The sequence below is a fragment of the Homo sapiens genome, chromosome 3, assembly GCF_000001405.40.
Source record: "Homo sapiens chromosome 3, GRCh38.p14 Primary Assembly".
Classification (NCBI taxonomy): Eukaryota; Metazoa; Chordata; class Mammalia; order Primates; family Hominidae; genus Homo; species Homo sapiens.
In genome coordinates, this window is record NC_000003.12 from 167479053 (window position 1) to 167498089 (window position 19037).

Consider the following 19037-nt stretch of genomic DNA (forward strand, 5'->3'; position numbering starts at 1 on the left):
AATGAAATAGTGGGGAGAAAATTCTCAAATTTTGCTTTTTCTAAAAATCTTTGTTTCTAAAACACAGAGTGTATTTGGAAAAATTTTCTCTAAGCTTCTGCTATTCTGTTTACTGCAATTTACATCTAAAAGTTAAATTTTGGTAGAGTTTGTTCTTTTAATGCATATATCTTAATAGAAATCCACCATTCTAAGGGTAGAGGATTATAGAAGTTCCTGTTTTCCATTTTTGTTTTTTAATCTACTTAACAGCTATCAAGACATAAAGAGCCAAGAAAAAATTATTCTGTATTGAAATAAGGCAATTAAAATAGTCAAAACACAGTTTGACTGTCTGCATGAATAAACAAGCGCATCTATAATCACGTCCATAGGGGTTTGCAGTTTTAGGAAAAAAAAGAACCAAATTATTTCCATGAGTGGTTATATTGCGCATCAGTGAGAAGTAGGAGGAAATTGTGCCATACATTCTAGAAAATAATTTTGGCATTTTGCATAATTTTATTATTTAAACAAATGCTTATTGAATGTCTATTATACACAATGTTCTGTGTTGAGGCATAAATGAGGCACAAATATGACTAAGTCACAACCTTTCTTCCAATTGGTGGAAACTAGAAGCAGTACCCAAATAACCAAAACATCATATACAATAAGATATCATTCCAAGAGAATATAAGCAATGCAAACTGTGTATAAACATGTAAAAGATATTATAACAATATATAAAGATTTTTTAAAAAGCTTTAAGAATTAGGTACTTATTTGAGGTAGGTCTTGAATTCCAGATAGGACTTTAATTGAGAATAAGAAACATGGAGGTGGGGAAGAATTGGCAAGGGTTGGATAGGAAGTGTCAACTGGAGGAAACAAGGTGAATAAAGCATGGAAAAAAAGGCCGGGCACGGTGGCTCACGCCTATAATCCCAGCAATTTGGGAGGCCGAGGCAGGTGAATTGCCTGAGGTCAGGAGTTCGAGACTAGCCTGGCCAATTTAGTGAAACCCCGTCTCTACCAAAAATACAAAAAAATAAGCCAGGCATGGTGGCAGGCGCCTGTAATCTCAGCTACTCGGGAGGCCAGCTACTCGGGAGGCTGAGGTAGGAGAATTGCTTGAACCCAGGAGGCAGAGTTTGCAGTGAGCCGAGATCAAGCCATCGCACTCCAGCCCAAGCAACAGAGAGAGACTCTGTCTAAAAAAAAAAAAAAAAAAAAAAAAGGAAAAATAATAACTACTATTAGAATAACTCTGAATAATTCAGTACAATTTAAAAGAAGCATAAAATATGTGAAAGAAAGTAAAGTGGAATAAATTTGGAGCTGGACCTAGGAACACTTTAAACACCAACCAAAGCATATGAAATTAAAAAGTAAACATTGAATGACTTTACAGTATAGTGGCATCTTTATATATTTGGATTAAACACAAAACGAAACAAAAACTTTCCACTTCCAGTGTAAACTATACTGTAGAGAGGAAGTTATATAGACCTTGGCTACAAAAGTCAAGATCTTTCCTCTTCTTCTCATGGAAATTATATGAAAGCAACCAGGAAAATTACAGATAATAACTTTGCAAATAAATTCTACTTTAAGCAAAACTCAAAGAGAGATGTAATCTGCAGCTTACAAAATATAAAGAAGCAAAACAGCTGAGATAGGACAAAAGTTGCCCAAGAAAAAGTGAAAAGTATAGAGAGTATACGAAGGCCAGCAGCAGCATCTTAGAATGTGCTGGGAAAAAAATAGTCACTGTGAGTTACAGGCTCACCATGAAGTACAAATGCTTTATCCCTTATATACATGGATGCTAAAAAGAGGTGAACATGGTTGGAAGCAGAAGCTCTCTGGGACCTGGTTTGGATCGGTGAAATAGATGAGTCAGGGCTACCTGTATCACACACATGAGTCATTTTTTGCTAAAGCAGTCTGTCCCCATGGGTTGTAAAACTTGAAGGATACCCTGATCTCACATCCCAGCCTCTTACTCAAGGATTTACCACATATTTCAAGCAAAAAAAAAAAAAATCACCTCATTAAAGCTAATTAATTAAAAGAGGAAAGTTTTAAAATGAACACAGCATGAACACAAACTTATATAAGCAAAAACTAAAACCAATCAAATTGAAGAAAGAGCAGCAAAACTAATCAATACATGAGCCACCACCAAAAAATATTGCCATTGCACAAACATTGTTACCAAGCATTTTGACAAAAATTAAATTTTAAAAATTAAAACAGCAGTTGCCTCTATGAAGGAAGATCACAGAGCAGAAGTGAAAAAACTAAGGGAGGAGATGAAGACACAAGAGGAAGTGATGAAATATGAGGTAGCAAAACTCAGAAAAAGAGGGAAAAAATCACAAGGGAGAACAGAGTTCCTGGAACATAGTAGGAAACCTAGAATATAGAAATGAGAAAAAATATATAATAAAATGAAAATTATAAACAGAATGAATTAGAAAAATAATAAATGTTGAAGACAGACAAAAAATAGATCAACAAACATATAATTAGAGTAGGTACTTGTATTAATTCGCTTTCACACTGCTGATAAAGACACACCCGAAACTGGGGATAAAAAAGCTTTAATTGGACTTAATAGTTTCACATGGCCGGGGAGGTCTCAGAATCATGGCAGAAGGCAAAAAGCACTTCTTACATGGCAGCAGCAAGAGAGAAATGAGGAAGAAACAAATGTGGAAACCCTTGATAAACCCATCAGATCTCATGAAAGTTATTCACTATCACGAGAATAGCACGAGAAAGACTGGCCCGCATGATTCAATTACCTCCCCCTAGGTCCCTCCCACAGCACATGGGAATTCTGGGAGATACAATTCAAATTGAGATTTGAATGGGAATACAGCCAAACCATATCAGTACTTAAGAAAGAAAACCAAAGTATAACAAATATTTAAAGGCATCATTTAATAAAGGTCCTCAAATAAAAGTCAACCTGACATATGTTGAAAGGACACATTGTGTACTAGGAATAATTGACTTAGAATACTCAAAACCAAGTGATATCCCAGTAATGTTATTAGACTTTAGAGATAAAGAGGAAATCTTCTGGCAACCACACAAAATAATCAAGTCACCTAAAAAGGAGAAAAGTATCTTGCATTAGATATTTTATAGAAATGACCAACACCAGAAAAGAGTAGAGCAATGCCTACAAGATAATCAGGGAAAGAATATGTAAGCTAAGAATATTACATACATTCAAGTTGTCCTTCAAATCCAAAAACTATAAATGGTGTCAATATGCAAGAAATTTAGGGATTATTGTTCCCAAGAGTCCTCTTTGAGGAAATTTCAAAAAGCTAAACTGAGGCCAGGAGTGGTGACTCACGCCTGTAATCCCAACACTTTGGGAGGCCGAGGCGGGCGGATCATGAGGTCAGGAGATCCAGACCATCCTGGCTAACATGGTGAAACCCCGTCTCTACTAAAAAAAAAAAAAAATACAAAAAATTAGTCGGGCCTGGTGGTGGGCGCCTGTGGTCCCAGCTACTCGGGAGGCTGAGGCAGGAGAATGGCGTGAACCCGGGAGGCAGAGCTTGCAGTGAGTTGAGATCGTGCCATTGCACTCCAGCCTGGGCGACAGAACGAGACTCTGTCTCAAAAAAAAAAAAAAAGCTAAACTGAGAAATGACAGAGAAAATTTTGAAAAAAATAACTTGCTGGTGATCACTGAATGTATTTAAGTGCAGAAGTAAAATGGAAACAATGTGGAGTTAAGGCTGACAAAAATAGAAGGTAAAGTCCATGTGCCTGACAATGTATAAATGATACAATTGACAAAAATTGTGAGCATAAAGGAGAAAGAAACCTTGTTTATGATAAATCAGAGACAAAGAATAACACTGAAAACTGACAAATCAACTAATAGCAGTATAAGCAAATTTAACAAAATAAAAGTAAGCATAAAGAAAATCATGTTATGGAATAAAATTGTGTGGTAGAAGGGGGGTAGGAGAAGGAGAAAACAAGTTCATTCTATCATTACTGAGCATACATCTAATAGTGTCTTAGAGAAATGAAGAACTAGAGCAATAAGATGAAAATGAATAAATCTGCAACTGGCATTAAGCAGAGATAAAATGAAAGATAGTATTTTCCATTTGCCTAATACCAGCAGTATGAGATAATGTGGATAACTGTACATCAGCAGCTGATCCTGTCCCATATGACTGCAGATTAGCACTTTAGAATCACAAGCAATTCAGAATGCCTTTGAGCCCTTCTGAAATATATTGTAAAAGCCAGAATGTTACTTCCGAAATTCTGTTTTATTGAGATTTGTCTCTCAACTAGACGACAAATTTTCATTGTAATTGACTGGGTTTCAAGGCCATTAACCCAATAGCTAACTGATAAGTCTGTAAGATATTAAGAGAGACGAACTCACTTGGATGACTCATTTTTAATTTTTTTTCTTTTTAGTTAACAAACAGATTATAAAAAGTACATATGCAGGGGTGGATCCCTGTTTCTTGGGCCTGAAAGTTACAATTTTGGTAGCTCTCTTTAGAAAAACAGAATATAAAATTACAAATATAAATTTATTTATAAAAGTGGCTATTTAAGATAAAATAAATTTCAACAAATTACTAGTAATTTTTAGAGTTAGGTCCTTTTCTCCTGAGATCTCTTTTTAAAAAGATACCTGAAATGCTTACCTGGAAATGATTGTTGCTTGTAACCTTGCTTCTGCTCTTCACCTAGAACACTCTCAAACTCCTAGCAATTTCTAATACTCAAAGGGTCTTTATAGATGAGGCCCAGAAAACCTAACCTTCATTAGCTTCATTTGTAAATCTATATGTGGCAAAAATGATGTCATTAACTTAACATCTTTTAAATGCGTAATGGTAATCAATTCTTCTCACTATTCATAGTAACATCTGCTAAGTTAATGGCATAATGATTTTTTATGATACTCAACAGAGTATGCAGTAGATCATAATACATGTAAGAAATAATCATTTATTGAACTTGCTTACAATTATTTTTAAAATGTCCTTAACCTTGCTGTGATGACTTTCTTGATGTATTAAGTTGCCTAGGGTAAAGTCCACAGTTATGAAGTCAAATATTAATATAAGTGTTGCTTTGAAGGGATTTTGCAAATGTAGTTCAAGTCCCTAATCAATGAACTTTAGATAAGGGAGATTATCCCGGATTATCTGGTGAGCCAGACTTAATCAGATAAAAGGCCTTAACACTGGGGCCTGTTGTGGGGTGAGGGGACAGGGGAGGGATAGCATTAAGAGATATACCTAATGTAAATGATGAGTTAATGGGTGCAGCACACCAACATGGCACATGTATTCATATGTAACAAACCTGCAGGTTGTACACATGTACCCTAGAACTTAAAGTATAATAAAATATATATATATGTATAAGTGAAGAAATTCTACCAATGAAAGTTTCTGCCTGTGCCGAGCCTGCCATGATCTTTTCTTCTTGAGTTAGTGCTACATATTTTGAACTTGCTCACTCAGCCCAACAAACCCATAAGTCAACTTCTTGTAATAAATCTCAATATGAAGTCCTGCTGATTTTACTTCCCTGGTTCCCCTCTGATTGATACACTTTCCATGAAGTACACTATCACAGGATGATGGCAAAAAAAAAAAAAAAAAGTGATGTGTTCTTTTTATAACAAACAGGCTGATTTGTCAAATTTCCTGTGGTTTGTGGCTGGAGATGGTGGAATACCACGGGTAAAAAAAAAAAATTATGAACCAGAAATACCATTTGACTCAGCAATCCCATTACTGGGGTACATAAAGGACTATAAATCATTCTACTATAAAGACATATGCACACGTATGTTTATTGCTGCACTGTTCACAATAGCAAAGACTTGGAACCAACCCAAATGCCCATCAATGATAGACTGGATAAAGAAAATGTGGCACATTTACACCATGGAATACTAGGCAGCCATAAAAAAGAATGAGTTCATGTCCTTTGCAGGGACATGGATGAAGCTGGAGGCCATCATTCTCAGCAAACTAACACAGGAACAGAAAACCAAACACCACATGTTCTCACTCATAAGTCGGAGTTGAACAATGAGAACACATGGACACAGGGTGGAGAACATCACACACCAGGGTCTATTGGGTGGTTGGGGGGAAGGGGAGGGATAGCATTAGGACAAATACCTAATGCATGTGGGGCTTAAAACATAGATGATAGGTTGACAGGTGCAGCAAACCACCATGGCACATGGATACCTATGTAAAAAACCTTCACGTTCTATACATGTATCCTAGAACTCAAAGTAAATAAAAATAAAAATAAATAAATAAAAATAAAAGTTGAAAAAAAAGAAAATGTATGTATACTTGAATACACAACTTAGACATAGAATTCAGCATCTGGATGGCAAGGAAGCACAACAAGATTTAGGACAAAGCTGAAACCCAATGCAAGGAACCCAAGGAATCCAATAAAATGATCCAAGAGCTGAAATATTAAATAGCTATTTTAAGAACCCAAATGAACTTCTAGAACTTAAAAATTTACTACAAGGATTTTATAATACAATTAGAAGTTTTAACAGCTGAATAGACCAAGCTGAGGAAAAACCTCAGCACTCAAAGACTGGTTCTTCAAATCAACTCAGTCAGACAAAAATAGAATTTTTATAAAAGGAACAAAACCTCTGAAAACTATGAGATTATATAAAGAGACCAAATCTAGGACTCACTGATAATCCTGAGAGGAGAGAAAATAAGCAACTTGGAAAATATATTTGAGGATATAGTCCACAAATATTTCCCCAATGTTGCTAGAGTGGTTGACACACAAATCCAAGAAATACAAAGAACCCTGGAAAGATACTATAAAAGAGGGCCATCCCCAAGGCACATAGTTAGCAGATTCACCAAGGTCAATGCAAAAGAAAAAAAAAAGGCAGTTAGAAAGAATGGTCAAGTCACATACAGAGAGACCACATCAGGCTAGCAGTAGACTTCTCAGAAGAATCCTTACAAGCCAAAAGAGATTGGAGACCTATTTTCAACATACTTAAAGAAGAAAAATTCCATCCAATAATTTCATATCCCTCCACACCAAGATTCATAAGTGAAAGATAAATAAAATCTTTCTCAGACAAGCAAATGTTGAGGGAATTTATTTCAATGTGATCAGCCGTAATTACAAGAGTCTCTTAAAGGCATCCTAAATATAGAACCAAAAGAGCAACACCTACTACCACAAAAACACACTTAAGTGCATAGCCCACAGTTCACTATAAAGCAACTATACAATCAAGTCTACATAACAACCAGCTAAGAACATAATGACAGGATCAAAATCTCACATACAAGTACTAACCCTGAATGTAAATGGGCTAAACACCTTACTTAAAAGACATAAGGCGGCATGCTGGTTACAAAAAAAAGACCCAACCATCTGCTGTCTTCAAGAGACCCATCTCACATGTAACAATGCCTACAGCCTCACAGTAAAGAAATAGACAAAGTTGTCCCATTGAAACAGAAAACAAAAAAGAGCAGGGGTCCCTATTCTTAAATCAGATAAAACAGATTTTAAACAAATAAAAATTAAGAAGGGCATATGCATATAATCCAACAAGAAGATTTAACTATCCTAAATAGACACATACCAATCATTGGAGCATCGAGATTCATAAAACAAGTTCTTGGCCTATGAAAAAAATTTAGACAACCACACAATAATACTGACAGACTTCAATACCCCACTGACAACATTAAACAGATCTTCAAGGCAGAAAACTAACAAAGAAACTCTAGGCTTAAACTCTACACTTGATCAATTGGACCTAATTGACAACTATAGAACACCCCATGGAACAACCAACAGAATATATATTCTTCTCATCTTCACACAGAACATATTCTAAGATCAACCACATGCTTTCTCACAAAACAATAAATGTCATTCATTTCAGAATTAGGAAAAACTATTCTAAAATTCACATTGGACCAAAAATAAAGAGCCCAAATAGCTGAAGGAATCCTAAGCAAAAAGAACAAAGCTAGAGGCATCACATTACCTGACTTCAAACTATACTATAAGGCCACAGTAACCAAAACAGCATGGTACTGACACAAAAACAAACACATACACCAATGGAAAAGAATAAAAATCTCAAAAATAAAGCTGTGTACCTACAACCATCTGATCTTCAATAAGGCCTACAAAAACAACCAATGGAAAAAGGACTCTGTGTTCAATAAATGGTGCTGAGATAACTGGCTAACCATATGCAGACAATTGAAACTGGACCCTTATCTTTCAACATATACAAAAATTAACTAAGGTTGAATTAAAGATTTAAATATAAGACCCCAAACTGGAAAAATTCTGGAAGAAAATCTAGGATATACCCTTCCTGACATCAGCCTTGGCAAAGAATTTTTGGCTAAGCCCCCAAAAGCAACGGTAACAAGAACAAAAGTTGATAAATGGAACCTAATTAAATAAAAAAGCTTCATCACAGCAAAACAAACCATCAACAGAGTAAACAGACAACGTACAGAACGGGAGAAAATATTCACAAACTATTCATCTGACAAAGATTTGACATCCAGCATCTATTAAAAGAAAAACTTAAATCAGCAAGCATAAAACAACACTATCAAAAAATGGGCAAAGAACATGAATGGACACGTCCCAAAAGAAGACATACAAGTGGCCAAGAAACATATGAAAATTACTCATCATCACTAATCATCAGAGAAAAGCAAATCAAAACCACAATAAAATACCTTCTCACACCAGTCAAAATGGCTATTATTAAGTCAAAAAACAACAGATTCTTGCAAGGCTGTGCAGAAAAGGGAAGGCTTATACACCATTGGTAGGAAGGTAAATTAGTTCAGCCACTGTGGAAAGCTGTTTGGAGATTTCTTAAATAACTTAAAACAGAGCTACCACTTGACCCAGAAATCTCACTACTGGAAATACACCAAAAGGAAAATGCATTCATGTGTTATCACCATGCTATTCACAATAGCAAAGACATGTAATCAACTTAGGTACTCATCAATGATGGATTGGATAAAGAAAATGTGATACACTCAAACACACACACACACACACACACACACACACACACACACACACACACACCATGGAATACTATGCAACCATAAAAAATATGAAATCATGTCTTTTGCAGCAATACTGATGAAGCTGTAGGATAAAATCCTAAGCAAATTAATGCAGGAACAGAAAGCCAAATACCACATGTTCTCACTTATAATTAAGGGTTAAACACTGAGCACACATGGATGTAAATATGATAAAAACAGTCACTATGGACTACTAGAACAGGGATGGAGTGAGGGGCATGGTTTGCAAAACTACCTATTGGGTACTACACTCATTACCTGGGTGCAATATACCCATTTACCAAACCTGCACATGTGTTCCCTGTATCTAAAATAAAAGCTGAAATTTTTAAAAAGTAAAAAATAAAGTAAATAAATAAATACAAAGCTTATCTTAAAGCACCCTCAAGTTCCCATATGATCACAAGCTTAGGAACCTCAAGCCTCCAACTTCTTGCCTCCCTGGCCACATAACTTATTTAGAATCCTGGACAGTAGTTTGCTCAGATTAGTGAGAAACAGCCAGTGTCTAGATGAATCAGGTCACATTCCTCTTTAAATCCTCTGAAGGCTTCCCTTTATACTTAAACCAAATTTTTTGCCCAGGCAACATGGTCCCACATGACATGACCCCTGAGCCCCCTCTAATCTCATCTGATACCAGTCTCCTCACTCCATTCTAGCAATGGTGACCTCTTTTCTGTCCCTGGAACATGTCAATTTTGTTCCCAGTGGTTTTATACTTGTTTCCTGTGCTTGGGACATTCTGCCCCAACATCTTTGTAGAACTTTCTACCTTAGGATTTAGCTTAAATGTCAGAGAGACCTTCACTGATGTTCTTCCTAATGTCACCTTATTATATTATCTTGTTGTATTTTCTTCTTAGCTCTTATCAATATCATTCTCCAAACTTATCATCTTTAACTATTTATCTACTTATTATTACCTATCTCTCTTCCTAGACAATAAATTCAGCAGCAGTAGACTTTGTTTGCCTTTGTATACCATATATCCCTAGCACCCAGCATTGTATCTGGCTCATGGAAAAGGGACTCAAAATGTATATTTGTTGAATATATGAGCACATGAATGAAGGAACTTTCAGGCATGCAAAGGGGTTGGCTCACTCCTCACCCTTTGGAATCCCTGCATTCCAGAGACCTGGGGACCCTATAATATTCATAAAAGGGTGATTCTCCATGTCACATATATACATATACATCCATTTAACCACAACCAAGTTCTTAAAAATTAACATCTAGTGTTATCAGTAACCACTTACATTCACTATTCCCTACCTGGGAAAATATGACATTTATACACTCATCACTTCACTTTATAGTTGGCTGCCTGACAAGGTTTATTATAATGATAGCCAAAAGCTGTTTTCACAGTGATGAAAAGGAAAGATGTGGTGGTCAGGAAAGTATCCAAAACATTTTTTCTATAATAAAATGATTCAAGGATCTTAACATAGAAGAATTGGTTTATATATTGTCTTCTGGTCTTTCCCTTGCCTGCTAATTGGCAACTAACTATATCAGCTGAACAACAGTGGCAAAACTCACAAAGATACCCTGGCAACAAAGGACTTGGCAGCTATGTAATGTACTATGCAATGACTACCTGTCTATGAGTGTACAGCATTCTGAAAACTCCTTTCTAATTCACATTCTTCCTCCTATTCTGTGTCCTATTTTGCGTCTTCTAGACAAATTCTTATTTATCAAACTTATATGTGCATAAGAATCACCTGGAGTTCTCATTAAAATACAAATTCCCATGCAACAGATCTGGGGTGGGTCCTGAGATGCTGCATTTCTAAGGAGCTCCCTGGTGATGCCCATGCTGCTATCCACTGCCCACATCTTGAGGTCAAGCTTCTGATTTCTAAATCTAAGCTCTAGGTGAGTATTGTCAAATGTCCTTTTATTTCAGCCACCATCCAGTAACAAACAGGCAACAAAGCAACGGGTTGGTGAGAAAGAGTGGTGATGATTAATCAAAATACTTTAATAGTTTTCATATGACTCTCAAATAATGGTTGCTTGGGACCTGTTGAACCTTTTAAATATGTTGTTCACATATTAATGACTTCTGTTTTATAGACCCAAAATTTTGGTCTGTGTGTGTTGTATTTGTGAATTTTGAGATAATTTAGTGTTATGTAAATAAAAATGTAGAGCAATAGGAAGGATTTCTACTTTTTAAAATGCCCCTGAGTTTTCTGTTCATTCTGGATGTTTAGTATCCAAAAGGTCCTGAGGTGAGCCATGTGTAGCAATCTCTCATTTATCATATAGTCAATGCATGTATCTACAAATGCTTTCTTCCTACATTTTAATTATTTGTTCAAGTAAGAACTTTTATATGATATCAAAGATTATTTTTCTTTACCGGTGCTAGATTTAAAATTATACTCTAAAACAAAGATTTTAATAAAAGCTTATGTGTATATTTTTGACCTGTAGCTTAAGGGCTAATGTGAAACATTGTGTGTTTCAATAAAACACTATGTATTGTCTCCAGCACACCCTTCTGGGTTGTTAGATTCTAGTTGAGTTCACTGTTTTTGAACTATTTTTGCCCCTCTTTTCAATTGCAAGCCACTGACGGATATGCAAACTTTGTTTTATCTGCTAGAGATTTGACTTCCTCTTCTCCTTGGAAACACCACTTTCGGGATCTACTTGCAAATTGGACTGGTCTGCTACCTTGCACAAATTGTCAACTCTCCAAACTTTTCAATCTTATGTGTTTTTTTTCAACATTTAACTACAACTTTCCAAATTAACATTTTCAGTTTTTCTCCCTCCCACCTAAGGACATTACCAAGAATTAAAACCTGACATCCCAGATCCCTATACAGACTTTTGGTTGCCTTGCAGCTGTCCCTTTCTCCCAGGATCGTTGGGACTTCAAAACAGCTGACCTTTGCCACCACCTGGCAATATAAATTCAAGTGGTTTTGTAGGAGCAACATCAACAAGAACCCCTGAGAGACTATTTCTGAGACTCTGCTTTGCCCCACCCGGGAGCTTTAGAATCACTTTTAGGTTGTTCAGCAATGAGTGATATTCATTTTTCTTAAACACAAGGGGGATGAGACTGGCGATGCTGAACTTTACCTCAGTCCAGTGCTCCTGGAAAGTGAAGACATTTAAGAAATCTCTCTACATTTTCATGTTCTAGAAACAGCTAACCACAAAGGACTCCTCTCCTCTCATATATTCCAGGACCCTCTCTTTCCTTCCTCTTGAGTCCTATAAGAATCACAGATGACTTCCTCATCTACCTACCTCTACAAAAGCTCAGACCTCTTTTCTTTTCTTTGAGATGTTCCTGTTTAATGAACTTTCTCCGTATTGCAGTAGGCTGAATAAAACCATCTCTTTAATTGTTTCGTACATTTTGTCTTTCACAGAGCAACAGCTACAACAAAACAAGTCACCTGAGGTATCATTAATAGAGCATTTTCTCCACACTGTTTCAAGTTTTAAAGATTTTACAGATACAATGTGAATGGGTTCTGGGGAATTTATTGGCAAAACCTGACTCAGAGGCAGTTCTAAGTAGCTTCCAGGATTTTGAATAAGGCATATCAAAGAGGGGTTTCAAGCTGTTTAAGAACCAACTGGGAGCAACTTGAAAGCTAAAGGGAAAGTGTGAAGAAAGATGTTTCAAGTTGAAAGGGAAAGAAACAGAATACAAAAGGACATAAAAAACCCAGCAGGTATGGCTAAAACATCACCTGGGGATTTTAAAGTGTTTGAAAACTGTCCCAAGTTCCAAAGTGAGAGTTTAGGACATTGAAAGTGAGACTAGCAAAATGCCTCTCATTGTACAACTGCCAAAAACCTATGCACGAGGTAATTACGGAGATTGCAGCAAAGTGGAAAAAATGCAGTGCAAAGACGTAAGGTAGCCTCTGCAATGATAGTGTGCAGGAGAAATATATTGGTAATTGAAGTTTTTTTTTTTTTTAAGTGTTATTTTATAATAACAATTTTTAAATTCATCAGTATCCTTCTGAAAAGGAGAGGAACAATTTTAAATGAAAATAATAAAAATAGGTAATACAGTAAAATGACTGGTTTTAGAAATAAGAGCAAGAATAAGCTACCAGGGAATTTGATTTGAATACTATTTGAACAGGGGAGGCTGAATTTTGAAATATTAATAGCATAAACACCTGAGTCAGTTTTTCAGCATTCCCATCTAGGCTCTACCTTTACTATCTATGTGAACTTAGGTCAATTATTTAAATTCTTTATGCCACAAATTCTTTATATAGAAAATGTGGGGAATAGTAAGTCCCACATTGTAGAACTCTTTAGTGGAATAATAATACAGGGCATTACCAATAAATAAAATGTATCAAAGTCTTACTGGGTATCAGGCACTGTGCTTAGGGCTTCACATGGGTTATATCATTTAATGTTCACAGAAACATTATGATGATAACTAAGATGAAGCCTATTTTCAGTTGAGGAAACTAAGGCACAGAATGTTTACTCGAATTGCTTAAGTTTACAAAGCTAGCAAGTAGTAGAACCTTGTTTTGAAACCAGTCTTATGCTTAAAATTTCATCTTTATACATTTATCGTTTCCATGGCTTATTCTCTTTATAAATTGTAATTCCCACCCCCACCCCAAAAGACATCCATTATCACCTCATAACTTATCGGGTATAAAACTGTAATTTTGAAGGTCCCAACATGACGTAGAAGGACCAGGAGTGGAGAACAAGCATGGAGAGGCGGATAAGATGAGACTATGTCCGTTATCAATGTATTGCCCAAGCTTTTTGATGCCTGCTCTGTGCTGACAGAATCAAGCCTACAATATGTCTCCTTTGCTAGCTGTCATGATGTTGAGCTCTGTCACTAAAGAGTAATGGAGAGACACTGGAGGAGAAATGGATTTCTTTTCCAAGTTCCAGGTTCTCTGTGCTCCTCTCCCAAGAATCCTGCCCTGCAGTTTCTCCAGCACTAGGCTCTTATAGCATGACTTCTCCAGTACCAAGCTCTCGCAGTGATTTTTCCAACACCAGACTCCTGCAATGCAGGTAAGGCTTCTCCAGAACCCAGAGCTAGCAGTTTCCCCTGTCAGCAGTATGCCACCTATCTGATACCACTCCATGAACGGTTTTCCATAATATCCTTGGCAAGCAAGAGGCCAACTGTGTGACTCTTCCCTGTGAACAGCCTTCCCTGTACCCTCTTATTGGTTCTGCAGTGAGTTCTGAGAAACAGCACCTCCCTGTGGATAGTTTCTCCTGGAACCCTGGTGGTGGTTTCTGGTAACTTCCACGTACAGCATCTCCGTGGGTTTGCCATTCAGTGAGGCATGGAAAACACTGCTCAGCCCTGGGATGGGTGGGACTCTTCCTTGGTCAATATATCTCAGGCATGAGAAGTAGTGGCTGCTCTTTCATTTTCCTATTCCTATATTCCTTAGAGTTCTGTTTACTTCTTACTAGTCAATTTTCTATAATACGCATGTATCAAATATAAAATCAGAACAAAAATATTGAACCTAATTTTTAAACATGTCTATCAACTATAGTTTCTTTTCAGTTATCACTTATTCTTTTTCCTTTCTATGATGGCTAGTTTCTCAGAAAGGTGTCAGCTTTCTTTAGTAGGTGTCCCATAGGCACCTCCATCTCAACATATCTTAGAAACTAATGTCATTTTCTAACTCTATCCCATCTTCGTCTGTATTTCCTCTCTAAATGATAGTCTTTTTACCTCAACATAGATATCCAAACTAGAAGACTGATCGGCATACATGTATTCATCTCTTATTGGGCACATAATCCTTTAAATTCAAACTCCTTAATATCTCTCAAATTAGTTATTTCCTTTCTAGGTTTTCCTTATCTTCAAAATCATAATAGACATCATCTAGTGAATGGTTAGTGTGCTAGCTATTGTGCTATAATTAACCCACATAACTCCAAGAGGCAGGCATCATTATCCCAATTTTACAGATGAAAAATAAACTGAGACTGAATAGGGTGAATAATTTATTCAGATATAAACAAATAGTAGAAGGCGAAGTGATGATTCAAAAGCAGAGAGCTGACTGCACACAGCAAGTTCCCATTACTATAATATTGCTGCCTTCAGTCTAGCCCCATTATAAGGCATCTACCGCAGTTTTCAGAACGCTTTCTAAAATGCAAATCTGGTCATGACACTTTCTTGTTTTAAACATTTCAACAGGAATTTTCTTTCTGGATAGGATTTAATAGGTAGTTGCAGGTTATCATTCTCACTGCACCAGATAGGAAAAAAAAAAACAGATAAATTACAAATGATATGTTTAAAGCCATCAGAAGGCCGTGGAAGCAGTGATGACCAAAATAACTAAATTCCAGAGATGGTAGGGCCCTTCCTAGATGAGCTAAAATTGCCAAGTATTTTCTTCTTTCTGGGGATTTATTATGTTTTGGCATTGCTAAGAAACAGACCTGCATTCGACTGAGAGACTCTCTCATGGGAAAGTAAATTTGGAAGTGTTTTGATGGCTATGTGGGTTGGTGTGATGTATTGGAATCTAGAGAAATGTCACAGCTTTGGCCAGTCTTTCCCATAGGACATTCTCTGAGCCCTGGGGTGGTGTGGGAGACTGTGGATTGGACTGAAAATGCAGAGTAATGTTTTCTGCAGTTTTGCAGTACGTGGGAGACAATACCCCACTAAAAGGAGAAGCCTAAAGCAGACATTTGAAATCAGAAGTGGACTAAGCCTAACTAAATCTGTACCTCAGCACTGACCCGGCTCAAGTACTAATTAGATTAAGGTCATCAGTGTCTCATTCTCTCTGCCGAATTAAGGAAAAGAGTGAACCATTGCTGACAGAAAAGAATATTAATTTCAGTGTCTATAGATCTTTTAAATTTTCTGTCATACAATAAAAAATTATAGGACTTGCAGAGAAGCAGGAAAAATGAGACTAAAAACCAAGAGGAAAAATATATATATTAGAAGCAGACCCAGGGATTATCCAGATTTTGGAGTTAGTCAACCAAGACTTTAAAAATTACCATTATAAACATGTTTCAAAAACAGAGGGAAAAGATGAACAAAATGGATGAGAAAAATTTAACTGAGAACTAGAATCTGTATAAAAGAGATTCAAGTGGCATTCTAAAACTGAAAGTATATAAATATGTGTGTATATATATAATTTCAGATATACATACATATATAATCTGAAACTGGGAACTGATTAGATGGGCTTAAAAGCAGACTGGTCAATATAAAATATACAAACTGAAGCCAACCTAAGGAAATAAAATGTTTTTCCATTTTATTTATTCCATTATTTAATTCCACTTATTAAAAGAGCATCAAAAACATTTGTGATATAATTAAACAGTCTAACATATGTGTAATTGCTATTCCATAACAGAAGAGAGCAGGAATGAGAATAAAACATAATTTGAAAAAAGATAATGGCTGAGAAGTATTCAAAATTGAAAAAAGATGCATTTGATAAATTTCTATGAACTCCAAGTAGCATAAATACACACACAAAAAAAACAGTACTTAGACTCATCACAGTAAAACATCTGAAAACCAAGGCTAAAGAGAAGTATTTTAAAAGCAGCCAGAATAAGATGCATCAATAACATTAAGAGCAGGATTTTAAACAGGAACTATGGATGCAGGGAAATAAGTTAACTTTAAAAATTTGAAAAAAAAAAAAAAAAAAAAAAAGCAACAAAACAACCCTGACATCTAGAGCTTCAAATCCAATGAAAAATCCTTTCAGAGTCAAAATGAAATAAATGCATTTTTCAGACATGTAAAAGCTGGGAAAATTATTCACAAGCAGGCCCATATTTTAAGAAATTCTGTAGAAAATTCTTCAGACTGAAGGAAAATGGTCTCAGATGAAAGTCTAGTGCCATAAGAAGGAATAAAGAGCACAAGAAAGAGCATTGTAACTTCTAGAACAATCACTTTAAGAATAATACAAATAAATATGAACATTGAAGAGGTAATATAGGATATAAAATTATATAATTCAGAATGATTGATTAAAATATTTCAATAGCTCCCTATTTCTGATTAAATAAATGCCGAGTCCTTAGCATAGTTTACTAGATGGTCTGTGGTCTGGCCCCCACCTACCTGTCTAGCCTCATTTTCTTCATGCTCCTTCTAGAACCCAGCCAGTGGGAACTACATGTAGCTTTCTTAGCACACCATATTATTCATACCACCTTAGAGCTGCTTATACCACTCCTCTACCAGAGTATCATCCCCCGCTATTTTTTTTTTTTAACCTGGCTCATAGCAACTTAACTTTTAACATCTAGCTCGGGTATACTCTGGTTTCCCTGAAAAGTCATCTCTGAATTTTCATGTGTTCCCATAGGATGCAGTACTTATCTCTACCATAGCCCTCGTTGTAGAATATAATTATTTGTCTACTTATCTATTTCCCCACTTCAATGTCAAGATCTCTGAAGGCTAGGTATCTACATATTATCTCTGCGTCTTTAGCATCCAGCACAAATGCTACTATATGTAATATCTATCCTAGGAAAAGCTAAATACAAAAATGAACAAACATTATTTCAGTATCTGCTTGTCAAAGACTCTATGATATCACAGAGTGTATATACAATCTGCTTCAGTCCTCCAGAACTTTATTTGTAAATGGTGCATCAGTACCCCAAACTTAACACATTCCAAACACATTTGACTTTACCTCTACTAACGAGAGGTAAATGTAAAACTCAGTTAATGTCTCAATATCTGAAGTCATTCATTGTAGCCAACTTGGGTTCATTTTGACTTCTGCTCCTTCCTCAACCTTGATATGTCCTTCCTCACTATTTCCTTGTTTTCTCCCTCACCTTTGACCTCCTACTCATCCTTTAAGTCCCAGCTCAAATGTGACTGAATTCTTTCCTATGCTCCAGCCAGAATGAATCGAACTTTTTTCCTGGCATTTTCATGGAACCTCATTGGTGGTGTCATATGTCATCAATAATTTGCATCATTTTCTCTCGCAAGTAGTCATCAATAATTTGCATCTTTTTCTCTCACAAGTTGGTGAAGCTTTTAAAAGAAAATTATTTTCACTTGCAGAAAGGGCAAGTAAGAGGAAATATTTTCAAAACAGGGAAGTAAAGGAAGAAAAATTGAAGAAAGAAAATAAAAAACCAAAAGAAAGAAAACATCTTTTAAAAACTTTGGGGAAGTTACAGGAAATTTTAATAAGAAATCCAGGGGAAAAAATTCTCTTTGAGAATTTATTAGAGTCTTTTAGGTATTTTGGTTATTTCTGCCCAGCCATTAACCCCACCTCTTTGCCCACACTTTTTCCCTGCCCATATGAAGAATTCATCTGTGGCTTCCTTCTGCCACAGATTATATAAAAGATTCTTCATAGAAGCAGGAACTCTCACCACTGAAGAGAGGTGTTTGCTGCTCTCATTATTTACCTGTCTCTTTTGCTTCTTTCCTCTCCAGCTTTTGCATATTCTCTGTCTCCTCTTCATCTTGCCTCAATTCTGAATCCATTTTCTGTCTTGGTTTCCTCCTGAATGCCTACCCTGTATCTGGACTATCTTTACAACTTTGTCCTATGTCTGGATCTTTTTTTACTGGTCATTCCTGTTTCATGTCTGTTTGTGGCTCACAAAGACAAGATAAGTACTTCCCATATTCATTCTTTTTTTTTTTTTTTTTCAACAGGCTAGTGCAGTGGCACAATTTCGGCCTCCACCTTCCGAGTTCAAGAGATTCCCCTGCCTCAGCCTCCTGTGTAGCTGGGAAAACAGGCACGTGCTACCATGCCTGGCTAATTTTTTGTATTTTAGTAGAAACAGAGTTTCACCATGTTGGCCAGGATGGCCTCAATCTCCTGACCTCTTGATCCACCTGCC

At 36.3% G+C, this 19037-nt stretch overlaps 1 protein-coding gene across 4 annotated transcripts in view; it reads right to left on the reverse strand.

Annotated features, from left to right (window-relative positions):
• The window catches only part of WDR49 (WD repeat domain 49), a 179240-nt gene that overhangs the window by 369 nt on the left and 159834 nt on the right, over positions 1 to 19037 (reverse strand). The gene's annotated exons all lie outside the window — the stretch shown is intronic.